We start from the raw sequence: 25078 nt of genomic DNA, 5'->3' as shown, positions 1-25078 counted from the left end.
CGCCGCGGGCGGGGCTGGGCCGTAGTCGGCTCGATTTAAGGCTGGTATCCAAGGCTGCGGCCGGTCAGGCGAGGCGAGGCGAGGCGACGTGAGCGAGGGTGCTTAGGGAGAACAGCCGCTGGCAGCTCAATGCTGGGTGGCTAACGCTCGACGGTGCCTGGCAGCAACCCGGCCGACAACCCGACGCGGATCCCGAGCTGCGTCGCGGACAATGCTGCGGGCCCGTCCCGGACTACGACTCCCGACGGGCTCTGCGACCGCTCCGGGGCGGCCCAGCGTGCACTGCGCCGGCCAGTTTTGACAGCCGGGCGCCCTACTCGGCTAGCTCTGCTCCCAGCCAGGGACGCTGGCCTTCTCGCGGCTTTCCCCCGATGTCTCTCTTTATTCCAGCTGCCTGAAACTCGGTCCCACGAATGGCAGGCAGCGTCCAAAATTCAACCCCGTAAAGCCAGCACCAGCCAATAAAGCGCACGGATGGAGGCCACGTGACAGCAGTGGGCCGGCCCTCCGGCTGAGCCCTGATCTCTATGGTTTCCGCGGCTCGCTAGAAGGAGTGTGGTCCACTGGAGGACTCCCTACATTCTTCCTCCATTACCTCACTGCCTCCGGTGGCTGCTGGGATACCGGAGGACTCGGGTCCCGGCTCGACTCAGTCCTCCAGCCGCCCGGGGAATACCTCTAGTTCTTCCCGGCCGCCGCCGCCGCCGCCGCCCCGCCGCTTCCTCCTCCGCCCGCCGGCCTCCTTCGCCCCGCCCCGTCCGCGCAGCGCGTCCGGCCCGCCCGCAGGCCAGCTTCTCTCGGGAGCCCCCACCCAGGCGCATGGCTCCATGAAGCAAGAGGAGGAGGCAGAGCGCGAGAGGTCCCGTCCGCCCCAGCCGCGTCTGGGCCAGGAGAAAAGGTGGGAAACTCGGGCTGCGCCGCACCCTTCTCCCCGCTGCCGGGCCAGGCCTCCCTCGGTCCGCCGCCGCCTTGCCCGCCGGGCCTGTTCTCGCCGGGGCGGGCGGCGGGGCCGGGAAGAGACCCCGCGGTCCTGGGGCGAGGGTCCGGGGGCAGCGGGGGGGAGGAGTCCCGGGCGGCGGGCGGGGCCTCAGGCCATGTCCCAGCGGAGGGCAGGGGGTCGGGAGGCACTGCCGGGGAGGGGCGGGCGGCGCCGTGCCCCGGGCCGCGAGGCTCGGCTCCCGCTCCTGGTCCTTGTCTGCACTCCCTCCAGGAAGCAGGCTCGCTCGCTGTAAAGTTTGGTGGTCTCCGGCGCCGCCTGGTGGCCCCCACCCACCGTCCCGCCGCCCCGCCGCCCCCTCCCCCGCCCGGCGTCTGGATTCCACCCCCGCGGCTCGGCCCAAGCTGCTCTACCCGTCGCTCCATCGTCTCCCCAACTCCCCAGCGCCCCGGACCCTCTTTCCTCATACCCTCGTTTCTCACCTTTCACCCTGTCCCTCGGCCCGCTTTTCCCCTCCCCGCTCTGTCCTGTCGTTTTCTTAACACTCTTCACACGCGCACTTTCTCCTCCTCCTCTTCTCTTTTTCGCACCCCTACTCTTGGGCCCTCCTTCCTTAACCTCCGCTGGCCCCCCATTCCATGATCCGTCCACCTGACACGCTGGGTTTCATGCCTCTCTTTCCCAGGCTGTGGGTTGTGCCCTTCACTCCTTGCCCTCCTACATTCCCTGTCCTGATCTGAACTCCTCTCCTTGCCATGCTCCCTCACCCTTATCCCTCTGGGCCTTATCCTCTTTCACTGCCCTCTCCTAGGATAGAGTGGGTGGGGCCTCTCCCACCCACAGGAGATGTAAACAGTCTCCTGTTTACTTACATCTTTGGGAGTAGCTCAATTCTCTAGTAGTGGGGAGAGTTGGTGAAGAGATCAGGAAGAGATTTCTTCGAGACTAAGGATGGATGACCCTTAGCAACAGTGACCGTCTCCTCCCGGCATAGCAAGATGGCCTGCCCTCAGGTCCCTGCCTCTGGCGTGCTGTCCAGTAATTCTTCAGTTCTGTCTTTGCAGAGGATTGGGAAATTTATTTGTGTTCTGAAACCGGCGGAGAGCTTTTAAATGGTCTCTTCTGGCCTGAGAGCAACTTTTGCTCTGCATCTGTGGTGGGGAAGTTTTAATGTGCGTCTCATGCTCGAGTTCAATAAATAAAACCTTTGATTCTCAGTGTCCTCCCTTCTTGCTGATGACGCTAAGGATGAGATGATTCAGGGCATGGGACTTCACGGCTGCCTCAGATTTAGAGTTTGCAAGGTTTTGAAATAAGGAGAGCCTGTTCTCTAGCTATTTGCTGTGCCCCCCACCCCCCCGAAATTGCTCTGTCGAGTTGTGATTTTTCAGAAACCGTATCTATCTTACCTCTGCACTACCTGGGTGTTTGTTCACTGCACCTGCATTTCCGTCTTAGGTACAGGAAGAAGGAATGGAATCGGAAGGAAGAAAATTCATTCCAGAGACAAAATAGCTCCCCTCCTCTGTTGTAGCTGTTCCTCTGGCAATACAAACTTTCTGCTTTCAGTGAGTATTATCTTGGGCATATTTAGAGTAGAGCATCGTTGTAGTTTTTGATTTTAGGCATGTGCTAGGATTTTGGGATGTAGGTGTGTTTTCATTTGTATTTTTCTACTTCCATGAGGGGGTCCTAATGTTGATGAAGTTTTTCCGCTTGTTCCCTTTTAAAATAATTTAAATATGCAAAGGCAAGTTTGTTTTTCATACTCCCATTAGAGTGAGCTAGGTGGTGGCGTGGCATGATCTTTCCTTTATATTTCTAGTTTGTAAGGTCTGGCTCCTCACCCTTCCCAAATGAGTTTCTCAATACAACCAAAGAGGTTGTCTTAAGTTTTAGGGTAATTAACTCAGAGGTTAATGCAGTTCCTGATCAAAGTCAATTATTGGTTCTCTTTTCTATAGTTTCAGTCCTGAGAGACTTTTGGAACATTTTGTCCTAAATTTGCAATAGTGAAGATATTTTCTTGAAAATCCCATCACAGATTTGAAGATAATTAAAATTTTTCACTGTAAACTTGAAACAAAGTTCTGGGGAAAAATTATGACTGCTGTGCCCTCTTGAGTTGATTAATGATAGTATGCTAACACTTAGGAGAGAGTTTTCAGAGTGTTTCACTTCTTGGTGAAGCCTCCCAGCCCCTCTGAGGGACACAGGGGATAAATGTTTTTATTTTACAAATGAAAGAACTGAGGCCCAGAAAAATGTGGCACCTTGCTACAGGTCACATAGAAAACAGAGGGGAGGTGAAAAGAGTTTTGACTCCTAGGTACATGTTTTTCTTTAAGCTAAGTTGAAATGAAAATGTATAGTTCTGGCCAGGCGCAGTGGCTCAAGCCTGTAATCCCAGCACTTTGGGAGGCCGAGGCAGGTGGATAACGAGGTCAAGAGATCAAGACATCCTGGCCAACATGGTGAAACCCCGTCTCTACTGAAAATACAAAAATTAGCCAGGTGTGGTGGCATGTGCCTGTAGTCCTCAGCTACTTGGGAGGCTGAGGCAGGAGAATCGCTTGAACCCGGGAGGTGGAGGTTGCAGTGAGCTGAGATCATGCCACTGTACTCCAGCCTGACGACAGAGCGAGACTCTGTCTAAAAAAAAAAAAAGAAAAGAAATTTGCAGTTCTTTATGTTTTTAAAAATCTATAAAGCTTAAAAACAATTGTTGCCAGGCATGGTGGCGTGCATCTGTAGCCCCAGCAACTTGAGAAGCTGAGGCAGGAGGATCGCTTGAGCCCTGTAAATAGCCACTTCAGCCTGGGCAGCATAGCAAGACTTCATCTCTTTAAAAAAAAAAAAAAAAAAAAAATTCTGGGCACAGTCACTCATGCCTGTGTAAATCCCAAAACTGGGAAGCCAAGGCAGGAGGATTGCTTGAAGCCAGAAGTTCAAAACCAGCTTAGTAACATAAGGAGACCCTGTCTCTACAAAAGGAAAAAATTTTTAAAAATTGGCCGAGTGTGGTGGTGCATGGCGGTGGTCCCAGCTACTTGGGAGGCTGAGGCAGGAGGATCTCTTGAGCACAGAAGTTCAAAGCCGCATTGAGCTGTGATTGTACCACTGCACTCCAGCCTGGACCGCAGACGGAGACCCTGTCTCCAAAACAAAAAGGAACAATTGTATAGGTATATCTGTGATTTGTGGGGGAAAATTTTCACACACCAAATGTTTTGGATGTGTGTATGATGGGGGTTTCAAAAATAAATGATTATTTGGTATGGTTACCAGAATGTATGTGGGTTTTTCTGACTGTTTCCTGGAATAGTTCCATAAGTAGGACAGAATTATAGCTCAGGTGCCATTTCAGTACCCATAATGTAATTATTAAATTGAATTTCAAGTCAACTCTGTGTCACAAAGGAAACAACAGCTTGTTCCCTTCTGTGAAAAGCTTGATTTGAGCAAACATCTAAATGCTAAATGATAACAGAAGAAAATGCAGAGACCCCCTTTTTCTTGGCCTTTTTCCCACCTCCCAAATCTTTATGAGATCGTGCCCTCGAATAAGCTGTTTTGAGGCTTGTCTTCAAAAGGTGAATCTAGATTTTTCCCCCCACCTTTAGGCTTTTCTAGATATTTTAATCTGGTGGTTGTGTGAAACCTAACTACTTTGACAACAGTTTTTAAAATTGGTATTCAGTATCTATCAAGATGTCTACAATAATAGCATTTTAAGCAAATTTAGTCTCTATTTTAGTGTATGTCTGTAAGCTTAAATGAGGACTCTAGTGGAATAAAACTGTACAACTCTCAAGGCAGCCAAGTATTTTTCTCTGTGTTTTCTGGCATCTCAGAATGAAAAGAAACAGTGGATGATTTATTAGAAGCCATTGCTCTCCAAAGAAGGAAACCATCAAGGTCATGAGAGTAATAATCCCATGTTAATAATATGATCTTTTAGATTACAAGGTCATTCTTAATGGAATTGTATTAGGAGGGCATTATTCCTCTAGAAATTGTAAGCACTCAGAGCTGTGTTATTTTTATAACCAACGCTACTTTTATCAGTGGGGTAGGGAAGTATTGGTAACAGCAGACACTTAATAGATAGTAGTTATGTGCCACAGAACTGCCAGGTGCTTTTCGTGTCTTTCACAGCTCACAAATAAACCTCTGTGGTAGCAGGAGCCCAAGTCCACAGAGATGTGAAAACTTGCCTGAGTTGCGTAGCTGGTACGTGGCAAGTCAGACTTGGGATCTGAGCTGAGATTGTAACCTCAAAATCTAGGTTCTGTCCCCTGAAGAGGGGAGCTGCTCTGGGAAAATGGGAGTTATTTTTTTCAGTGGACTTAGTAGCCTTGGAAGGGACCTGCAGTGAGAGAGGAAGGTCCTTTTGCCCAGCCAGACACATGAGTGGGGGCATCATCACATCTTTGTGTCAATAGCAGTCTCAATACCTGGTTTGTAAATACTAGCAGTGTATGAGAAATAGTTTGTATTAATCCCTGAAACCACAAATGGCCACCCAGGCAAATAAATTCTCCAGTGGGTAGTTCTGAAAGTGCTCTATCATTGAAAAAGGAAAAAATGATTCTTCCCAACTGCAGTTTAGATTGTCTGACCTATCAAAAGAAAGCCTTGAGCCACCTCGAAGTGGCACCTGAAGCCAGTTCAGAACTGACAGCTACTGGTATGTTTTAGCAAGGATGACAGCTACCAGCATACATTGGACCAAGAAGTGAATTTAGGTGATAGTTGACCTAATTTTTAAAATGAATTATCCACAGTGGCTATCCATTTTGCTATGAATAATTATTAAACTATCCCTTGGTTTGGGCTGAATAGAATGGAGATTGTTGATAAGAATAGGTGCTTGTAATTCAGTCATCCTCAGGTTCTGCGATACTCCACTGTCAGCAGGCAAACTTAAATTATTAGATGTGTAGATAAGATTGTTGGTGACAATCAGGAGTGTGTGTGTGTGTGTGTGTGTGTGTATACTGTATGTAGGGCACCATGTTAGGTGCAGTGAAAGATGAAACAGATGCCCTGCGGCCTCTCAGGCTCAGGGTGATGCCGAGTTCAGTGCTGGCTGAAATTTTTAAGTTGTAAGCTGCTCCAAATAGCAGGGCAGTGCTCAGCGTCCCCACAGAGAGGGAGGAAGAGTCACTGAGTGGCCCTTGTTGCAGGCCCTAATGAAGTTCAGGGCCCCCTTGAGTGTGTACATCAGGTGGAGAAGAGAGAACGTCCTGCAAGCACAGGGCAGATGAGGACGCCGCAGCATCACTGAGGAAGGCTGGTGACTTTAAGCACTAAGGGCACACTTTATTTGACACCTGCAAGGTTAGGAGGTCTTAAGAGGTAAAACAGTGGTTGCTGTGATTTCTGCCAGCTTTTTGTTGAGGTATGAGTATTGTTTCCATCTGGTGGAAACCTAGTTTTAACTAGCTTATTCTTATTGGTGGTCCTAATGGATGAACAGGAAGAAAAGGGACTCTCACCATGGCCCTTGAGCTGAGCTTTGTGCAAGTAACCAGCTGAAGGCCTGGAAGGGTCTTGGTTATATATACTTTCATAAAGCAAGGGTTTTTACACCTGATTTCAAACTTTGTCTTTTTCCTTCCGTTTTTGTGGAGAATGGGATCTTACTGTGTTGCCCAGGCAGGTCTCAAACTCCAGGGCTCAAGCTATCCGCCTGCCTCTGCCTCTCTAAGTGTAGGGATTACAGGCGTGAGCTCCTGCGCCTGGCTTCTCTTATTTCAAATGAACCAGCTTCACAGTAATTTGTACTATGCTCACAGTACCATCCTTGGTAGTTTTTATAAAGTTTGGCAGGGAAGTTTGGCGGGCACAGATTTAGAAGAGGTAAGTATGTCATTAAGTGGAGCATTTGTTTTTGGCTGATCAGAAGGATAGTCTGATCTATTAGAATGCTATTATTCTGAAGTACCTTACCTAGTACTCACAAAGCCGGGCTGCTGGAGGACCAGGTGTCTCTTGATCACTGTAGGGCAGTGCTGAGAGCTGAGTCGGGAACTACTTAGTTGTGGATGAGATACCTACATTGTTGGAATAGGACTAGAGAATCTCGAACCTAAAGAGAAAATTTCGATGAAATTTGTTGATAGTGGTTGATGTTTAAGAAGTCTTTGTTTATTACCAGCACCTTGGTTTACATTCTTTGCCTGTAGTTGTTATATATTAGTCCATTTTTGCATTGCTATAAATACCTGGGACTGGTAACTTATTTAAAAAAAAGGCTTAATTGGCTCAGGGTTCTGCAGGCTGTACAGACAGCATAGCAGCATCTGCTTCTGGGGAGGCCTTGGAGGTTTTACTCATGGCGGAAGGCAAAGCAGGAGCGGGCACATAACATAACAAATGCAGGAGCAGGAGAGAGTTGGGAGGAGGTGCCACACACTTTTAAATGCCCAGATCTTGAGAGAAGGCGCTCACTGTCATCACTATCAGGAGTGCAGCACCAAAGGTTGGTCCTAAATCATTCATGAGAAATCCACCCCCGTGATCCAGTCAGCTCCCACCAGGCCCCACAGCTAACACTGGGGATTACAATTCAGCATGAGACTTGGGTGGCGACAAACACGCAAACTGTATCAAGTTAATATTTGCTTTTTGTTGGCAGATAAGTAAAATATTGGACCCCTCAAAAAACTGCCTTAAATAATTCCATAGAGGGATGGGAGGTGGAGAGAGTAGGTAATGCACAGAGGTATAGATGAAGTAAGATTGGCCATAGGTTGGAAATTTTTAAATATTGGGCTCATTATACTATTTGTGGAGTATACTATTTTCTCCACTTTGGTCATGTTTGAAATTTCCCATAGATTTGAATTTATGGAATAAGCTTTTAAAGAAATGCCTTCTAATATATTTTTGATGCAGAAAATATCTAACTCTGCTTTTGGTCACTAAAACTCAACTGAGACTATCAGTTGAATTGGTTATTTAGTGGCCTCCAGAGAAATGCTTGGATCTAAAGGGCCAAAGATTGTGGTTGGTTCTGTTCATTGCAAATCATAGTTGGAAGATGTTGGGGAACTGTAAACACAACTGTGTAAAATCAACTGTGATTATGACCCACTGCGGATCAGTGATTGTATGTGGCATGTAGGCAGAATCTTCTGGACTTGAGTTCATCTGCATTGGTGTGGTTTGAAAATCCCTTCTGTTGCTCTGTGATGGAGTGTTTCACCAGTCAGGTGGCTGATACCACCTGGAAGAGAATGTCTGAGTTGTTGCCTCTATCTCACGACATTTAGCTTTTCCTTCAGGTGTGGTTTGGTGTAATGAGAATGATGAAAGGTTTTTTTAGCTTTTGCATTTTATTCTTTCCCTTCGATTCTTTGAATTCTGAGGCTCTAGAGGTGCAGAGCCTCAGAGCCCTATTAAAACACCAGCTCTCTGGGAATGCGGTCCTGCTGCTTCATCTGACCTGTATCTCTAGCTCGCTGCCCACAGTTGCACACAAAGTAGAGTCAAGTGAGAACTCAGGCTGGTGACACCCATCGTGGATTCAAATGACCCTGGATGAGGGGATAATTTTCCAGGTGATGGCTGAGATGTTGACTTTGGGCTTGGTTTTTCATATTGTTTTCCTGGCTCCATTTTTGTTGGCAAGATTCTATAAGCTGTTAGATTAGTTCTTAACATACCCTAGAAATTAAATTTTTATTTATTTATTTATTTATTTTGAGACAGGGTCTTACTCTGTCACCCAGGCTGGAGTGCAGTGGTACAAACATGGCTCACTGCAGCCTCAACCTCCTGGGCTCAAGGGGATCCTCTTGCTTCAGCCTCCTGTGTAGCTGGGACCATAGGTGCGTGCCACCATGCCCAGCTAATTTATTTTATGTAGAGACAGATGTCTCACTTTGTTGCCCAGGCTGGTCTCCAACTCCTGGGCTCAAGCCATCCTCCCACCTCGATCGACCTCCCAAAGTGTTGGGATTATAGGTGTGAGTCACCACTCCCAGCCCAGAATTTATTTATTTATTTTTTAATCCTGCCCTAAAGAAAGACTGAATCCAGTGGATATTATTGGCAGAACTCATTCTTTCTTGTAGTTCCAGGCCATACAGCCTGATACATAGATTGTGATCTAAATCCTAGTTCTGGCCCAGGTGCGGTGGCTCATGCCTGTAATCCCAGCATTTTGGGAGGCTGAGGTGGGCAGATCACCTGAAGTCAGGAGTTCAAGACCAGCCTGGCCAACATGGTGAAACACCATCTCTACTAAAAATACAAAAATTAGCCAGACATGATGGCACGTGCTGGTAGTCCCAGCCACTCAGGAGGCCAAGTAAGGAGAATTGCTTGAACCTGGGAGGCAGAGGTTGCAGTGAGCCAAGAGCATGCCACTGCACTGCAGCCTGGGTGACAGAGTGAGACTTTGTCTCAAAAAAAAAAAAAAAAATTCTAGCGCTGCCACTTAGTGGCAGTGTGGATGCTGTAAAATGTAAAATGATGGTAGCATCATCTGCCTTGTTGAGTGCTTTAGAGGATTCAGTGAAGCCCTTTTTGAAGAGTGTGTGCTCTGTGCAAGCTCTGCTGTAAGCCCAGAGTGCACAGCCAAGTACTGGCCCCCCAGGAGTTGCCCTCCTAGAGAACAGTGGAACAAGAACCCAGATGATAAGAGCAGCTAAAAGTATTGATGCTTAACACATACTAGTCACTGTTTTAAGCCCTTTATGTACATATATATATATATATATATGTATATATATATATATTTGGAGACAGAGTTTCGCTCTTATTGCCCAGGCTGGAGTGCAGTGGTGCGATCTCAGCTTACTGCAACTTCCACCTCCAGAGTTCAAGTGATTCTCCTGTCTCAGCCTCCCGGGTAGCTAGGATTACAGGCATGCACCACCATGCCCAGCTAATTTTGTATTTTTAGTAGAGATGAGGTTTCTCCATGTTGGTCAGGCTGGTCTCAAGCTCCTGACCTCAGGTGATCCGCCCACCTCGGCCTCCCAAAGTACTGGGTTCATAGGCGTGAGCCAGGGCGCCTGGCCTCTTTACATATGTTAAACTCATTTAATTCACCTAACCCTAGGAAGCAAATACTATTATTATTCCTGTTTTGAGTAAACTGAGGCAGAAAGAGGTTAATCGTGGAGGAACCAGGATTTGAGCCCAGGCCACCTGGCTTTGGAGGCAGCATTTTAAAAAACCAAGGCACTCTGCTTCCCCTCTCAACAGTCCAAATAAGACAGTGACATCCATGGTCAGAAACAGTGTAGTCATTGGAGGTTTTATTATATTGAGTATGTAAGACTTTCTCAAAAAGAAGCCAGGTGTGGCTCACACCTATAATGACAGCTACTGGGGAGGCTGTAGTGAGAGGATCCCCACCGCACACCGCACCGCCCCCCTACCACCTTTTTTTTTTTTTTTTTTTGAGACAGGGCCTTGCTCTGTTGCCCAGGCTGGAGTGCAGTGGCATGGTCATAGCTCACTGCAGCCTCAACCCCCTGGGCTCAGGCAATCCTCGCTCCTTAGCCTCCCAAGTAGCTGGGACCACAGACATGTGCCACCATGCTCAGCTAATTTTTTTTATTTTTTGTAGAGACTGGGTCTCCCTGTGTTGCCTATACTGGTCTCAAACTCCTCGGCTCAAGGAATCCTCCTGCCTCGGCCTCCCAACATGCTGGGATTACAGATATGAGCCACTGTGTCCAGCCAGCGGGTGGGGGGGCGGGGCGGGGAGCGGATCCCTCCCTTGTGGCCAGGAATTTGAGACCAGCCTGGACAACATAGTGAGACCCCCATATCTCCAAAAAAAAAAAGATAGCTGGGCATAGTGGTGTGTACCTGCAGTCCTAGCACTTTGGGAAGCTGAGGCGGGAGGATCACTTGAGTCCAGGAGTTGGAGGCTGTGGTAAGCTATGATTGTGCCACTGCACTCCAGGGTGGGTGACAGAATGAGACCTGTCTCTTAAAGAAAAAGAGAGAGAGAGAGAGAAGAGGAGAGGGGAGGAGAGGGAAAGAGAGAAGCCCCTATTTCAAGCAAGGCATGAGAATGTACAAGCTATTATTCTTCGGCCACAGAGAGCTTTGATCTCAATCGGAAATGCCCTTGATGTGTATTTTGTTATGGATCAGCATATATGAAGAACATAAATAATCCTTGTAAAATGTTTATATCATTCAACGTAAAGTGACAAGTTGTTTAGAAATAATGGCATTGCAGATGGGTGTGTAAATATTTAATTTGAAATTTAAAAGGTTGAAGAATTTACACCTGAAATACTATTTGTAGATCAATGCCTAAAAAGATAATTATATGACATGTCCAAATCACAGGGGAAAATTTAGGTAGGACAGCGCAAATCTCTCTTCTCTCTCTCCCTCCCCCCACTTGCCCTTCTTTCTCTCTCTTTCCAGCCAAAACAATAACATACAATGACTTGAGAGAAAACTTAGTTTTCTGTACTTAGAAACTTCAGTATTGTCAACATTGAAATAACTAGGCTCTATTTTCCTGATTCTGTTGAGGAGTGACACTTTTCAGACAACAGAGAGGACCTTAGTTGTGTTATGGCTATACATTTTTACCGCGGGCTTTTAAAGAAAAAAACAATTAAAAAAAAAATCCCTTCCTTCCCTTCGCATCATCAGCTGGGAGGAGGCTGTGGCTCCCCAGCCCATGTGACACCACATTTTGTTAAGCTGGGTGGCTTTGTATCTGTCTGGCTGGCTATGACAGGGCAGAAACTGCCACCTCACAAAAGGGCTGTGAAGCTTGGGTCATTCATGTGAATAAAGGTTTCTGCTAGGTTGCAGGTTTTCTGAATGGGGTCTTGAAAGGATAGGGAGATGTATAGAAATTGGAGTGAGTTCAGAGGGGAACCAAAGAGAATGAGGGGGCTGGAGGAGGAGAGCTGCAGAGACAGAAAGGTGGGAGCCTTGTGTTAGAAGATGTGCCCTCTTCAGAGTGACAGCCAACTGCTTTTCATCCTTGCTGTGGTTTGGGGCTGAAAGTACGAAGATAGATTGTAGTTAGTGATGAGGAAAATACAGAAGGATGTGGTTAACAAGGAAAATCATGAAAGTTCCTCTGGAGTTCTTTAAAAATAGGATGGTTCAATTTGGAGCCTCTAAAAAAGGTAGAGACATCATGATGATGAGTCTGACAGGTCGTGCGCAGCCCTCCAGGCAGTCTGGAAATGTCCTCAGCCAGCTTCACGCTGGCTGGTGCCCCACCCTGTCTTCTGCCCTGGGGACTCTTGGGGAACAGGGAGCTGCTTGGTGCCTGCCTCCATCCATGGTAGTCATCTGGAAATTTTATGGAAAATAAAAATTCTCTTTTAGGAAAAGGTTAGGGGTTTCTTCTCCTGGTCTGTGACCTGGAGGTTGAGTGGGAGAAAGAATTTGACAGCTCTTAGCTGGTCAATGCAGACTCTCTATCTTTGATGTTTTTTCCTCTCCTTTTAACTAACCAGTCAAATTAATGCTTAACTTCTCATTTTGGTTAGGGTTCTGCAGCATTCCAGACCTTGAGCACTGAATCAGGATGGGAAAAAGACGTTGTGTTCCTCCACTCGAGCCCAAGTTGGCAGCAGGCTGTTGTGGGGTCAAGAAGCCCAAATTATCTGGAAGTGGAACGCACAGTCACGGGAATCAGTCCACAACTGTCCCCGGCTCTAGTTCAGGACCTCTTCAAAACCACCAGCATGTGGACAGCAGCAGTGGACGGGAGAATGTGTCAGACTTAACTCTGGGACCTGGAAACTCTCCCATCACACGAATGAATCCCGCATCGGGAGCGCTGAGCCCTCTTCCCCGGCCTAATGGAACTGCCAACACCACTAAGAATCTGGTGGTGACTGCAGAGATGTGCTGCTACTGCTTCGACGTACTCTACTGTCACCTCTATGGCTTCCCACAGCCACGACTTCCTAGATTCACCAATGACCCCTAGTGAGTAAATCATGTGCTGGGGGCACTGAGGAAGGCATGGTGACATCTTTCTGGGGTGATTCTCTTGAGAGGGTCTGCTACTTGGAAGTCTTTATTATCATTTGAGGAAAGGGTAATGGGAAGAGAATGATAAGAAATGTCCAGAGAATATTTAAAACATTCAGTGGATTCAGTAATGGAAGGGAGCAGTTCACATTTGGAGGAGGCTGTAGGCTTGTTGTTAAAGTAATGTTCTGGAAATCAAGTGAGTTCATTCTTGGCTCTTCTGTTGGTTCACATGGCAGTGGGTATGGCATTTAACCTCTCAAGTGGGGAAGTCACGCCATACCATTGGGGACACCCATAGTGTTGAAGTCCAGGTGAGTTGGAAGTCTGAGGGCCAGGCTGGAGACTAGGAGCTCTCATTCACTGGGATCTGCGATTTGGTTAACAGGGGTCCCCTCACTTTGTTCATGAGAAATCCCTTGGTAAACCTGTAGGGCCACTCACATCCCATCAAGAAGTCAGAATCTGCTTCAGTATTTTTAGTTCAAGATTCTTTGTTGCTTGTCCCAAGCCCTCTACTGGTCTCAGTGACTTAAATAAGCAATATGTATAAAGTAAACTGAAGAATTCCATGCTAGCATTTTCTTCTTCCTCAGAATTGGAAGCCGCTCTGAGCTGGCTTTGAAGAGCATTGCTGTTTTTTTATTTTTGTTTTGGGGGTATGCTTTTGGAGTGTTCATTGATATGAGATTATTCATTCCTCAGTTGTTGATTGCCATACGGAGACTACAAAACCTTGGCTGGGGCATGGAGAGGGTGTGAAGAAAAGGAGCCTCTTCCCTTGGGAGGCCTGTCAGGTTGGCAAATCACACACGCACAGAGCTAAGGGGAAGTTGTTCTCTGTGAGTGTGTCAGAGGAGAGGAAACCTGGAGGGAAGTGTGCTCGGTTTTTTGGGAACCGTCACCCTGGGGTAACATGGTTAGAAAACACCTGACTGAGCAGGTGGAGATCCCAAGCCTGAGTGAGATCCAGGGTGCCCCACGTAAGAGAGAGATGCAGTTTGGAAGAACAGGTGATGATGTGGGTGTTTAGGGAAGGTTTAGACTGTTGTATTCAAGGCTTTGCATTTCCATCCTGCAGGCAATGGAGGCCTTGTCTTGAAGGATTTTTCAGTAGGCTTTGGGGCTGCAGCTTTGGCTGGTGCTGTGCAGGTGCTTTATTGGGAGGAAAAGATGGCTAGATGGGACAGCTGCTGTGGGGACCTTTGTGACAGTGATCAAAGCAGATAACTTTGAAAACTTAAGTTGCCTCTAGAAATGATTAACTCAATCTAAGAGGTAAGGACATTAGAGTGTGGAGGGATTTCAGGAAGAGGGAACAGGCCTTGAAACCTCTTGCTAAAAAATCTGTCACTGTCAATCTGATATAGCCTTAATGAAGTGTGACTTTGGCCTAGAAACAGAAAATGGCAACTCAGCTAATAAAAAGGTTCCTTGGCTGGGCGCGGTGGCTCATGCCTGTAATCTGTAATCTCTCAGCACTTCGGGAGGCTGAGGTGGGAGGATCGCTTGAGCCCAGGAGTTCAAGATTAGCCTGGGCAACATAGTGAGGCCCCCCTCTATTTTTTTTTAATCTTTTTTTTTTTTTTTCTTTTTGAGACAGAGTCTCAGTCTTGTCGAGGCTGGAGTGCAGTGGCACAATCTCGGTTCACTGCAACCTCTGCCTTTCAGGATCAAGTGATTCTCCCACCTCAGCCTCCCGAGTAGCTGAGATTACAGGAGCCTGCCACCACGCCCAGCCAATTTTTATATTTCTAGTAGAGGCGGGGTTTCGCCATGATGACCAGGCTGGTCTAGAACTCCTTACCTCAAGTGATCCGCCCACCTTGGCCTCCCAAAGTGCTGGGATTACAGGCATGAGCCACTGCACCCGGCCTTTTTAAATCTTTTTTTAAAAATTAAAAAATGTTTTTTGAGGGAACTTTTTTTTCTGAAAATTTGTGAGTGGAAATATTTGTAGTTGTCAGGGGCAGACATGATCATGGAAGCAACATGGGTTTGCAGATGAACGGGGCTGTGCAGGTGAGGCGTGTCATCATGAAAGACGGAGCGGGGGAGCATGGCTACCTGGATAAATAGACTTAGGGAAGAGGAAACTGGAGAATTCGAAGGAAAAGTTGAGTCTTGGGCAGAGAAAGAGGAAAGTAGCATGTAAATTTGGCGGCAAAGTGAATTAAAGCTGTCAGCATGGAACATGGGAACCACTACACGGAGCCTTTCCTTATGCTGCCTTGTAGGTTTCCCGTTTCCAGCCAGGGGCTGTGCCGTTTTCAGAAAGGCAGAGAGTCCTTCGGGTAGCTGGCAAGTCCAAAAACAGGGATTTTTGGCAATAACAGAAATGAATAGGGACAAAGCCAAAAGGTTTTGTTCTTATCCATGATTAATTTGGGGCTGGAGAATGTTTTGTGTTTTGCTTTTTTTAGTCCGCTCTTTGTGACGTGGAAGACAGGGCGGGACAAGCGGCTTCGTGGCTGCATTGGGACCTTCTCAGCCATGAATCTTCATTCAGGACTCAGGGAATACACGTTAACCAGGTAATGACACCAGACATTAAGAACTGTAGATAAATTGGCTAGAATCAGAAATAGCTGCCTGACTTTATTTCTTCTAAGTGATGTACGTTGAGCTTTCTCTTTTTGGTAATCAGGAAATGTAAGGGGCTTAATCTGGTGAGTCAGTTATCAGTTCAAGTACAGACAGTTAATAGCATCGAGTTGTTTTTAACATGTTAGTGTTGATGAACAATAGATACTCTCTGCATAGCTCAAGATTCATAAATATGTGGGCTCTATGGCACCTGATATTGGCTCCTGACTCCAGAGCAGCCTTACCTATGTTTTCTGTCCCCCTCCAGTGCACTTAAGGACAGCCGATTTCCCCCCCTGACCCGAGAGGAGCTGCCTAAACTTTTCTGCTCTGTCTCCCTCCTTACTAACTTTGAGGATGCCAGTGATTACCTGGACTGGGAGGTGAGAACAGCCGCATTTGGAACTCTGCATCTCTCGTTGCATTTGGGTTCGGGTTAGTACATGGCAATGTATCTCCTTCATTGAGAGAAAGGGTATAAGAATGTGAAGGCTGAGTTTGGAACCAATTGTGGGCAACATAGGTGACAGAAGAGGTGCTGCTATACCAGGAGTAGGCAGAAGTGTCAGTGGAAAGGCTCGCTTCTCCTGATTCTCCCTAGTCTGCTTGGTTTACATCCTTCTCCCATGTCTAATAAGAGATAATGGGGTAAAAGAAAATATTCCAGATCCTTCTTGGCAAGCCCTGGAGTAAAAGTTTTTGTTTGCTTGTTTTTTTTTTTGAGATGGAATTTCGTTCTTGTTCCCCAGGCTGGAGTGCAGTGACGTGATCTCGGCTTACTGCAACCTCTGCCTCCCGAGTTCAAGGGATTCTCCTGCCTCAGTGTCCCAAGTAGCTGGGATTACAGGTGCCCACCACCATGCCCAGCTATTTTTTTTTTTTTTGAGACAGAGTCTCGCTCTGTCGCCAGGCTGGAGTGCAGTGGTGCAATCTCAGCTCACTGCAACCTCCACCCCTGGGTTCAAGTGATTCTTCTGCCTCAGCTTCCTGAGTAGCTGGGACTACAGTCGCGTGCCACCACACCCAGCTAATTTTTGTATTTTTAGTAGAGATGGGGTTTCACCGTGTTAGCCAGGATGGTCTCAATCTCTTGACCTCGTGATCCACCTGCCTTGGACTCCCAAAGTGCTGGGATTATAGGCGTGAGCCACCATGCCCAGCCATTTGTATTTTTTTAGTAGAGACAGGGTTTCACCATGTTGGCCAGCCTGGTCTCAAACTCCTGACGGCCTTGGCCTCCCAAATTGTTGGGATTACAGGCATGAGCCACCGCGCCTGGCCAAATAAAAGTTTTTATTAGGAATCAGATGTGAAGGATCATGACCCCAGATAAAAACCTTGTGGCATGTTTATTTAATGGAATAGGGTCAAGGAACATATTCACAATTCCTGGATGAATTACTTAAAGAATGCATTTCTCCTACCTTCATATTCTCAGAGTTGGCTGCACATACTCTCGACCCTTCCCTAAAAGCAGAACTTTCTTTGGCCTCTATACCTCCTGAGATAGAATTAGTCATGAAATGCGAGAAGGTCTCCCTTTTCCAGGCCTGTGTTAAGCTGGTCAGGGAACAATGTTGATTTATATGTGGGGACTGAAGTTCCATTAGAGTAAGTAAATGCCATTTACTTGGTTGTACTTTTTTCTATAGGTAGGGGTCCATGGGATTCGAATTGAATTCATTAATGAAAAAGGTGTCAAACGCACAGCCACATATTTACCTGAGGTTGCTAAGGAACAAGGTGAGTTGGATGAATGGGATTTTAATGACAAGTATCATTCACAGTGGTGCCAGTTAAAGGGCAAGAAAGTGAAGTGTGTCATCTTGCAGCCCAACTGCAGCTGAGAATGAGGGCCTTTCTGCCTCTTAATACCTGTCAAATTCCTATAGAACCAAGGGTAAACTTCCAAAAAGGTTTAGGAGCTGGGAAAAGCAAAAGGGTAAATCGTTCACTTACTCGCCTGATATTTCAAACACTTCTTTTCAATGAATAGTTTTATTTCTTAGCCCCTTAAACTACAGTGGCAATTGTAGCAAAATACCACCAATCAACCTGACCATATTGTAGAATTCAGTAGGTACCGAACTTTGGATCACAAATCATTAAACAATATTATACATGGCAAAGGGTGTAAACATAGTCCCTACTGTTTTTTAAAGAACTCAGTAGTCGGCCAGGCGTGGTGGCTTACTCCTATAATCCCAGCATTTTGGGAGGCCAAGGTGGGCGGATCACAAGGTCAAGAGATTGAGACCATCCTGGCCAGCATGGTGAAACCCCGTCTCTACTAAAAATATAAAAATTAGCTGGGCATGGTGGTGCATGCCTGTAGACCCAGCTACTCAGGAGGCTGAGGCAGGAGAATCACTTGAACCCAGGAGGCAGAGGTTGCAGTGAGCCAAGATCGTGCCATTACACTCCAGCCTGGTGACAGAGCGAGCCTCCATCTCCAAAAAAAAAAAAACTCAGTAGCCTATAAGTTCTTCTGATGGGGACGTTAAAGGTAGGGTGGATCGAGCAGATTTTGTCTTTAAAAGAATATCTAGAAGGGTACCTTTACATGTTGCTTGTGCATTCTGTGATACGTAGTGCAGTTTTCCTTCTTTCTTGGAATTAGTCTGATTTTGAAAATAATATGTGAAACACAGTATTTGTTGGGTATGAGCCTAGAATAGAGAAAAAATACCCGGTGAAGTGTATATCATGAGCAAACATGGAAAACGATTGCCTGGTTGGTTTTTATTTTGCTTGTGCTTAAACTTTTTCAAGAGCAGTGTATATGTGGCATAATAGCAAACCTTTTAGCCACCTCTTTTAGGTCATAAACCTAACACACTCTGTACAAGGAGGCATACCATGTTTTGTAATGGGGAGGTGTAAATAATAACTTAAGTAAATAATTAAATTACTTTTGCCATTTGAAAGTTGGTTGGAAAAATAAAAACTTCGGAGCACCTAGCATAGTAATTTAGGGGATTTTCTTTGGTTTTTCAATTTGATGAAGTTGGTTTTATCTGTTAAGAATGAGGCTGGGCACGTTTGCTCACATCTGTGATCCCAGCACTTTGGGAGGGCAAGGTAGGTGGATACTGGAGCCCAGGAGTTCAAGACTAGTCTGGTGGCGAAACCTCGTCTCTACAAAAAATACAAATTCAGCTGGGTGTGGTGGCACACACCTGACAGTCAACAGCTAGTTGGGTGGCTGAGGTGGGAGGATCACATGAGCCTGGGAGGTGGAGGTTGCAGTGAGCCAATATTGCGCCACTGCGCTTCAGCCTGGGTGACAGGAGTGAGAACCTGTCTCAAAAAAAAGAATGTGCAAGAATAACAATAGTATATGCATGAGCAACTTGTCTGCCCTTCCTGAAGGAACAGCTCCTTCCTTCCTTCCTTCCTTTCCTTCCTCTTCCTCTTCCTCTTCCTGTCTTTCCCTTTTTATTTCTTCCTTAAGACAGGGTCTCCTCCTGTCACCCAGGCTGGAGTGCGGTGGTGTGATCCTGGCTCACTGCAGTCTTGACCTCCTGGGCTCAGATGATTCTCCCACCTCAGCCTCCTGAGTAGCTGGGACTACAGGCGCATCCCACACGCTCACTTAATTTTTGCGTTCTTAGTAGGGATGAGGTTTAACCATATTGCCTAGGCTGTCCTTGAACTCATGGGCTCAAGTGATCCTCCTGCCTCAGCCTCCCAAAGTGCTGGGATTACAGGTGTGAGCCACCACACCCAGCCAGCTTCTTTCTCACTGTCAATTTTTTACCATAGAAAACAGGACTCCAAAAATCATCAGATTGAAGGAAGATCACACAAAGGAATATAAGTTGCAGAATTTAAATTCCTCTCTTCCCACAGAGCAGCCTTGGGTACCAGCACTAGGCCAATAGGCTGGTCTAAGTTGGAACCATGTTTGTTCCTAGATAATTATACTGGGGTAACATCTGACAGGAAGGACGCAGGAGCAGGGAGCCTGGGGACAGCCATTATGGCATGTGTCGGGCTATCATCTCATGTCTCAGAGTCTCCACGGGACTGGCAGACAGACTGGGCGCCAGGTACGTGGGGGTCAGTGCCCAGGGCTTCCTCTGCCTTAGCAGACTCGGCTGCTTCTCGAGTCCCATTTCTCTTCTTGCACGGGCCATGTGAGAGCATGCCTTACTCTTGCATGTGCATTGACCTCAGTGTGGCCTTTCTCCTCCCCAGACTGGGATCAGATCCAGACAATAGACTCCTTGCTCAGGAAAGGTGGCTTTAAAGCTCCAATTACCAGTGAATTCAGAAAAACGATCAAACTCACCAGGTAAGCCATTGTCTTGTTTTCCTTATCATTTCAATTTAGTTGGGGTTGAATGGAGGATAATTTTGATGGGATGGAGAAGAAGTGTTCTCTGTGAATGTCCCTAAATCAAAGAAGTGTGGGTGAAGTTCACATTTTGAGGAAGCAGTGGCAGCAAAGGCAGAGACTCTCCCAGCATCCTGTGTGTCTCCATAGCTGAGCTGGGGGCACAGTTGGAGCAGGGCAGGTCTGCCCTGCAGGCTGTGGATGGCTTTGCCAGACCCACGTGGTTGGGAGGCTGAGGGGGAGACTGAGATTAGGAGACAAGGCTCTCTGGAAGTCCAGAGTCAGTTGAGGTGCTGCTTTCTGACTGCACATGTAGTCAGACGGCAGGAGATACAGGAGAGTAAGAAAATGCTTTTACAAAAAGTTAAAAGGAAATGCCTCTCATTTGTGGGGAATACTTCTAGGAGGAGGCTGCCTAGTGTAGTAGAATGCAGATGGACTTGGAGTTGGAATCCCAGCTCAACATGTACTAGCTGTGTGACCTGAGCCAGTTATTCTGCCTCTCTGAGCCTGTTCCCTGTCTGTAAGATGTGAATGATAATACCTTAGAGTTGTTTGAGGCTGTGCTAAGGTAATGTATGGAAAATTTCTAGCCTGTGGCCAGTCAACATTGTAGGTGATCAGGAGATGTTAGTTCTCTTCTCATCCCTATTGAAATCAGAAACACTGAGAGGTTTAGCTTCTATGGGCTTTTGTGGGCCTCTTTTGGGCCCCTCATCTGTAAAATGCTGAATAATCATATACTAATCTCACAGGTCTGTTTGGAAGATGACCCAGTGTTTTTTAAATGCTTTGGATTCCAAAAATTTTTAAAAAACAACAAAAAACTCTTCAAATACAAAGCATTATTATTATTATTATAATTTATTTGAACAGCCATTTCCCTGTCAAAATTCAGGAATAATCACCTTGCAGTGGAGGAGTGATTACAGTGGGAAAGAGATGGCTCTGGGTAAGGATTGTCACACCCAGCTCCTGTGGTCTGTAGTAGGCTCCATAGGTTTGTAACACCCCATGCTTCGCATCCTGACTCATGGCTCTTTCCAGAGCACAGCCAAAGTGCTATGAATTCTGTTCTGACGACCCTGTGATATGGCATATTCATCTGGGGAGTGAGACCTATATAGCCCCAAGGATCCTTTAACCTGCTTCAGCAGACTTTGACCCAGAATTAGGTATCTGTGTCCCTTTTAGTTATAATAACTTGTTTGTTGCTCTTACGCGAATTGAGGTTGCATTTCTGTCAAATGTATCACATTTACTCTGGAAGTAGATGTGCAGTTTGCACTGGGTTTTGGTGCAGCCATCTTCCAATCTGCCACCCGAGTAATTTGACCTTGAAATTCTTCATCCAGACCCCAGTAGCGGATTGCTTACGAGCAGCCTGATGATAAGCACGTGTAGTGTTTCAAGGTGGGATGTGCTGAAACACATTCTCGGGGGAATTGTGATTGTGCTTTTTCATCTTGTTCATTTGTAATAACAACATTGTTTTCTTGTGCTGTCTTTCATTTTCTGTAAGTAAGATTGCTCTTGGTCTTCCATTTTATTCTTTCAAAATGTGGAATAAGCTTTTGGTTTTTCTCTGCTGAGTGACTTTACAAAATGAAGCGTTTGGGGTTCCTAATACCCTTTCCTGTTTCCTCATACAGGTACCGAAGTGAGAAGGTGACAATCAGTTACGCAGAGTATATTGCTTCCCGACAGCACTGTTTCCAGAACGGCACTCTTCATGCCCCGCCCCTCTACAATCATTACTCCTGACACACGGCTGCATGACCAGTCCCACCCCCCCGTGGCCACCAATGGCTATGACATCATTGGAGCAGATGCCTCCTCTTCCTGGTCCAGTTACTTCTATTACTGCACCATTTTATGATGCTAGCTTCCGTTGCCAAGTCTGCCTCCCGCTGACTGAGGGAGGGTAGGGTTACCTTGAACGAAACAGAACTTGAGGGGCCCAAGCCTTATCTCAGCCTTTCCTCAATATGGGGTTCCGTTGGATTGGGGCTCCTCCATGACTAGTGGGAATTACTGTGGGTTCAGAAGACCCTTGTCTGGTATTTGCCACATGGGGTATTGGCCACACGCTGGAAGCTGAAATTGATGATCCCTGAAGGTTGAACCCACACACACCCCTGCAGCCTCCCCAGATGAAGTAGGTGTATTCCCCTGGCAGTCTGGGCAACGGAGACCAAGAAACATTTTTAGGTTGTTTTAAATTCCTTTTTTTAAACTTCCAGTTTATTGCGTACCAAGAGTTGATTACAACCTCCATGCTTCATAAGCGGACGCCACGTTAGGGTTGGACGTGGGCACCACGAGTCCTTTGAGGCTCCTGGACAGAGACCCACATCAAGATCGGAAGCCCTTTGGGTGGCGTTGCAGATCTCATTGCTCAGTAGGCCGTGAAGATTTTCATCCTCATCCCACTCTCAGTTGGATTTTCTGGCACTCTTCCTGCATTGAGTCTCCTGATTACTGAACAGAGCTCCGTCATGTAGCCTGCTGAGGAATGGAATGGAATGGAGATGCCCACAGGAGGTCCTGATGTCATCACTGCACGCAGGTGTGAGAGGAGAGACCTCTTCTGCACCGCCTGGCTACCTCACTCCTCTGCTGGTAGCAGTGCCTATAGCTGGACCTAAGTTCTCAGAAGCGTAGATGTGCAAACAAGCGATTGAGTTGGGCTTTAGGAGGACACATCATAGGAGAGAATCCAGGGTCTGTAAGCTGGTTTTCTTTTCAGGTGACATCCTGAGGGGCCTGTAAGCAGGGGAGCTCCTTTTTCTAGTTTGCCTGTAGAGGTGGGAAGACTGTTGGTGTTTCTGTCCTTTACAGGACATTAGGAAACAGTTGTGTAATTACACAAGGTGGACCTTTATCTTGCCTGACATGCTGGGAATCTTCACCCCACCAGGGCAAATTTCCAAATAGCTCATTTTATTCTAGGTCTTTCAAACTTTCATGTGACATATTTCCCTTTCCCATTGTTGCTGATTTCCAAATCGCTGTCAGCAATTTTTTCCTCTCTCCTTGCCTATTCTTCACTCATTTGGTGGCAAAGTTCATAGAACTAGGGGACTTGGAAGATGCTTTGAAAATATTGTTACAAAGGCACTGCTAAAATGATTCACAGGGAGAGTGGCCAGTTGGAAGAAGGATCCTAAGGATGTGACACTGGTTTTCAACAACATGCTTAGAGAACTCATGAAGTGGATTGGGTGTCAACCCAGTGAACATGTTTTTATTTAATTTATTTTTTGAAGTTTATGTGGTGATGGTGTGGCTTTCCGAAATGGGCAAATATTCAGAAGATCTTTTGCATTTTCTTCTGTCAGGAATGGGGAAGGGGAGTGGGGGCACAATCTGAGAAAGGACACCTGTGCTGTTCTAGGCATCGCTGGCAAGTTTGTGGGAAGGGATGGGCAAGGGTGAGTGGGTTTGCTCCACACCGTCCTGTGCTGCTCGAGAGGACCTGGGACGTGCGAGGGAAACGTGGGTGACGGTGCCTAGGCTGCGGCCCTTCACTGCTGTGCTGGGTTCCTGCAGCCTGCTACGTTTCCCTTGGCAATGTAAATGAAGATGGAGGGGTCGTTTCGTGATTTCCTGCTGCTGAGAATAAATGTCTTGTTAAAAACGTGGCAACGGTTACTCTTAGGTGCCATGGATCGATGTCAGGGTGGTCAGCTCTGGACTAAGCCACCCACCTCCAATTTGTACAACAGTATTGATACATAGGGCTACACTCATTACTGTTCAAGTGTTCTATGTTAAGAGTTGTGTTTAATTTCTAAAGATTAAAAAAAGCAAAAAAATTGGTGCTAAACCTTCACCCCTGAGCACGCTCAGTGAGACTGGTCATGCAAGCATTTACAGTGCCATGCTCCTCAAGCCGATTTTTTCTTGTAGAAATGTTGCCCTATTTGTCTTCTCCAATGTATGGTATGTTATTTTATTTTATTATTTTATTTTATTTTATTTTATTTTATCGAGGGGGGGTACGATACCTGCCATTTAAGAAAATGAATAGAAAATTTTAAAACCCGAGAAATGGGGAAAAAAAAATCAGTGCACAAGAATTGGGCTGGTTAGGCCCAGCACCACACTGAAGTGGGCTCAGTGGTTTTTGGAGTGAAGAAGCCTTACTCCCTGCACATTCCCTCATGCTCCCACACAAGTCCAGCAATGGAAATGCTTGGGTTCCTCTTGCTTTGTCAGGGGACTCAGGAGTCGACCAAGGGAAACCATTTGGCCCCGTGAGGAATGGGCATTGTCAGTATCCGTCCTGAACGGGGCCTAGTCAGGAAGCGGTCTAGAAGTGTACGGTCACGGTCGCCTCATGAAAGTGTGTAGCAGGTGGCTCTCAGGAAAAATACCAAGTCTGGATCATCCATGTGGCAGCTTTGCATAGGGAGAGGATAGCTCCGAACTGGAACTGAACTGCCTTCTCTGCACGCTTGACCAAAGCAGTGATGAGGGCGGCCAGTACCTGCGGTGTGCGTGGTAGGTTTAAAGAAAAGGGAATGTTTTCTGCTGAGTGTTTCCTTTGTCCTTGGGCTGCTCGAGCTGGACAGTAGGTAACCACTGTTTTCAAGGACCAGCCCAATTTCTCTGGCTTGGTTCGGAGTTCGTTTCATCCCTAGCTGTGAGTGCCTTTTGGTCTGGAAAGTTGGCTTGTCTCATAATACCCACAGCTAGGACATTCTCTCTGTAATTATGAATTGTCCTTGTTTTACATTAAAAGAGAATGTCTTTGATCACTAGAGTCTGTCGGTGTTGGATTATTTCCACTGTGAGATTCTTAAAACTTTTTTGCTTCATAATAATAAAACAACTCATGTTAGAGACCCTTTCAACATGAAAGGTTTGTAGTTGAGACATTACATATATTTTATTGTTTATAATAAAAATCATCTATACAAAAGAAGTCCTGGGTGTTAATATTTTGCACAAGATCTGTTTTCCATGATGTGTTGACATCTACAATTTCACTAACTGTTGACGTTATTTTCTATTGAGATTCTGGAGCCTAGGGAGCTATGTGTTCTTTTTGTTCATTTCGTTCTTACTTCCCTGAAGCAAGAGACTATATGGCCTTCAGTGCAAAGACTTCAGACCAATTCTTTGTATTACACTTGGTTGCCTCTTGGCTATATAACTTCTGAGTGCAAATCATTGAACACTTTAACGAAGTATTGTAGAGAATAAATCATAATGGATAAAAA

The 25078-nt window shown here is 46.4% G+C and overlaps 1 protein-coding gene and 1 pseudogene across 8 annotated transcripts, besides 7 other annotated features; one reads left to right on the top strand and one right to left on the bottom strand.

Annotated features, from left to right (window-relative positions):
* The window catches only part of LOC107985803 (uncharacterized), a 28878-nt pseudogene that overhangs the window by 480 nt on the left and 3320 nt on the right, over window positions 1–25078 (bottom strand).
* Window positions 152–411: an enhancer, noted in NCBI's record as "active region_16508". NCBI's record gives its function as "activates an Ori minimal core promoter by ATAC-STARR-seq in GM12878 lymphoblastoid cells {active_cell/tissue: GM12878}" and the evidence as "EXISTENCE:reporter gene assay evidence [ECO:0000049][PMID:35858748]".
* Window positions 152–881: a biological region, named in NCBI's record as "H3K27ac hESC enhancer GRCh37_chr2:128643401-128643996".
* Window positions 286–881: an enhancer, noted in NCBI's record as "H3K27ac hESC enhancer chr2:128643401-128643996 (GRCh37/hg19 assembly coordinates)". NCBI's record gives its function as "activates a minimal SCP1, AML or CMV promoter by ChIP-STARR-seq in primed H9 embryonic stem cells {active_cell/tissue: H9 hESC(primed)}" and the evidence as "EXISTENCE:reporter gene assay evidence [ECO:0000049][PMID:30033119]".
* Window positions 422–501: an enhancer, noted in NCBI's record as "active region_16507". NCBI's record gives its function as "activates an Ori minimal core promoter by ATAC-STARR-seq in GM12878 lymphoblastoid cells {active_cell/tissue: GM12878}" and the evidence as "EXISTENCE:reporter gene assay evidence [ECO:0000049][PMID:35858748]".
* Window positions 632–801: a silencer, noted in NCBI's record as "silent region_11940". NCBI's record gives its function as "represses an Ori minimal core promoter by ATAC-STARR-seq in GM12878 lymphoblastoid cells {active_cell/tissue: GM12878}" and the evidence as "EXISTENCE:reporter gene assay evidence [ECO:0000049][PMID:35858748]".
* Window positions 752–25078, top strand: AMMECR1L (AMMECR1 like). 8 transcript variants are annotated; one of them, NM_001410953.1, is made up of 9 exons: window positions 752–898; window positions 2396–2505; window positions 12436–12880; window positions 15349–15459; window positions 15780–15894; window positions 17164–17254; window positions 19429–19563; window positions 19712–19808; window positions 21503–25078. In NM_001410953.1, exons 3-9 carry the CDS (start codon window positions 12474–12476, stop codon window positions 21612–21614), a joined length of 1068 nt encoding a protein of 355 aa, NP_001397882.1. In that variant the 5' UTR covers window positions 752–898; window positions 2396–2505; window positions 12436–12473; the 3' UTR covers window positions 21615–25078. The 8 variants fall into 8 exon arrangements, with proteins under 8 accessions (NP_001397882.1, XP_005263863.1, NP_001186069.1 ...); XM_005263806.6 differs by lacking the exon at window positions 15349–15459; NM_001199140.2 differs by lacking the exon at window positions 19429–19563.
* Window positions 812–861: a silencer, noted in NCBI's record as "silent region_11939". NCBI's record gives its function as "represses an Ori minimal core promoter by ATAC-STARR-seq in GM12878 lymphoblastoid cells {active_cell/tissue: GM12878}" and the evidence as "EXISTENCE:reporter gene assay evidence [ECO:0000049][PMID:35858748]".
* Window positions 11548–11627: a silencer, noted in NCBI's record as "silent region_11938". NCBI's record gives its function as "represses an Ori minimal core promoter by ATAC-STARR-seq in GM12878 lymphoblastoid cells {active_cell/tissue: GM12878}" and the evidence as "EXISTENCE:reporter gene assay evidence [ECO:0000049][PMID:35858748]".

Source organism: Homo sapiens, chromosome 2, assembly GCF_000001405.40.
Source record: "Homo sapiens chromosome 2, GRCh38.p14 Primary Assembly".
Lineage (NCBI taxonomy): Eukaryota > Metazoa > Chordata > Mammalia > Primates > Hominidae > Homo > Homo sapiens.
This window is presented reverse-complemented; position numbering and strand designations above follow the sequence as displayed.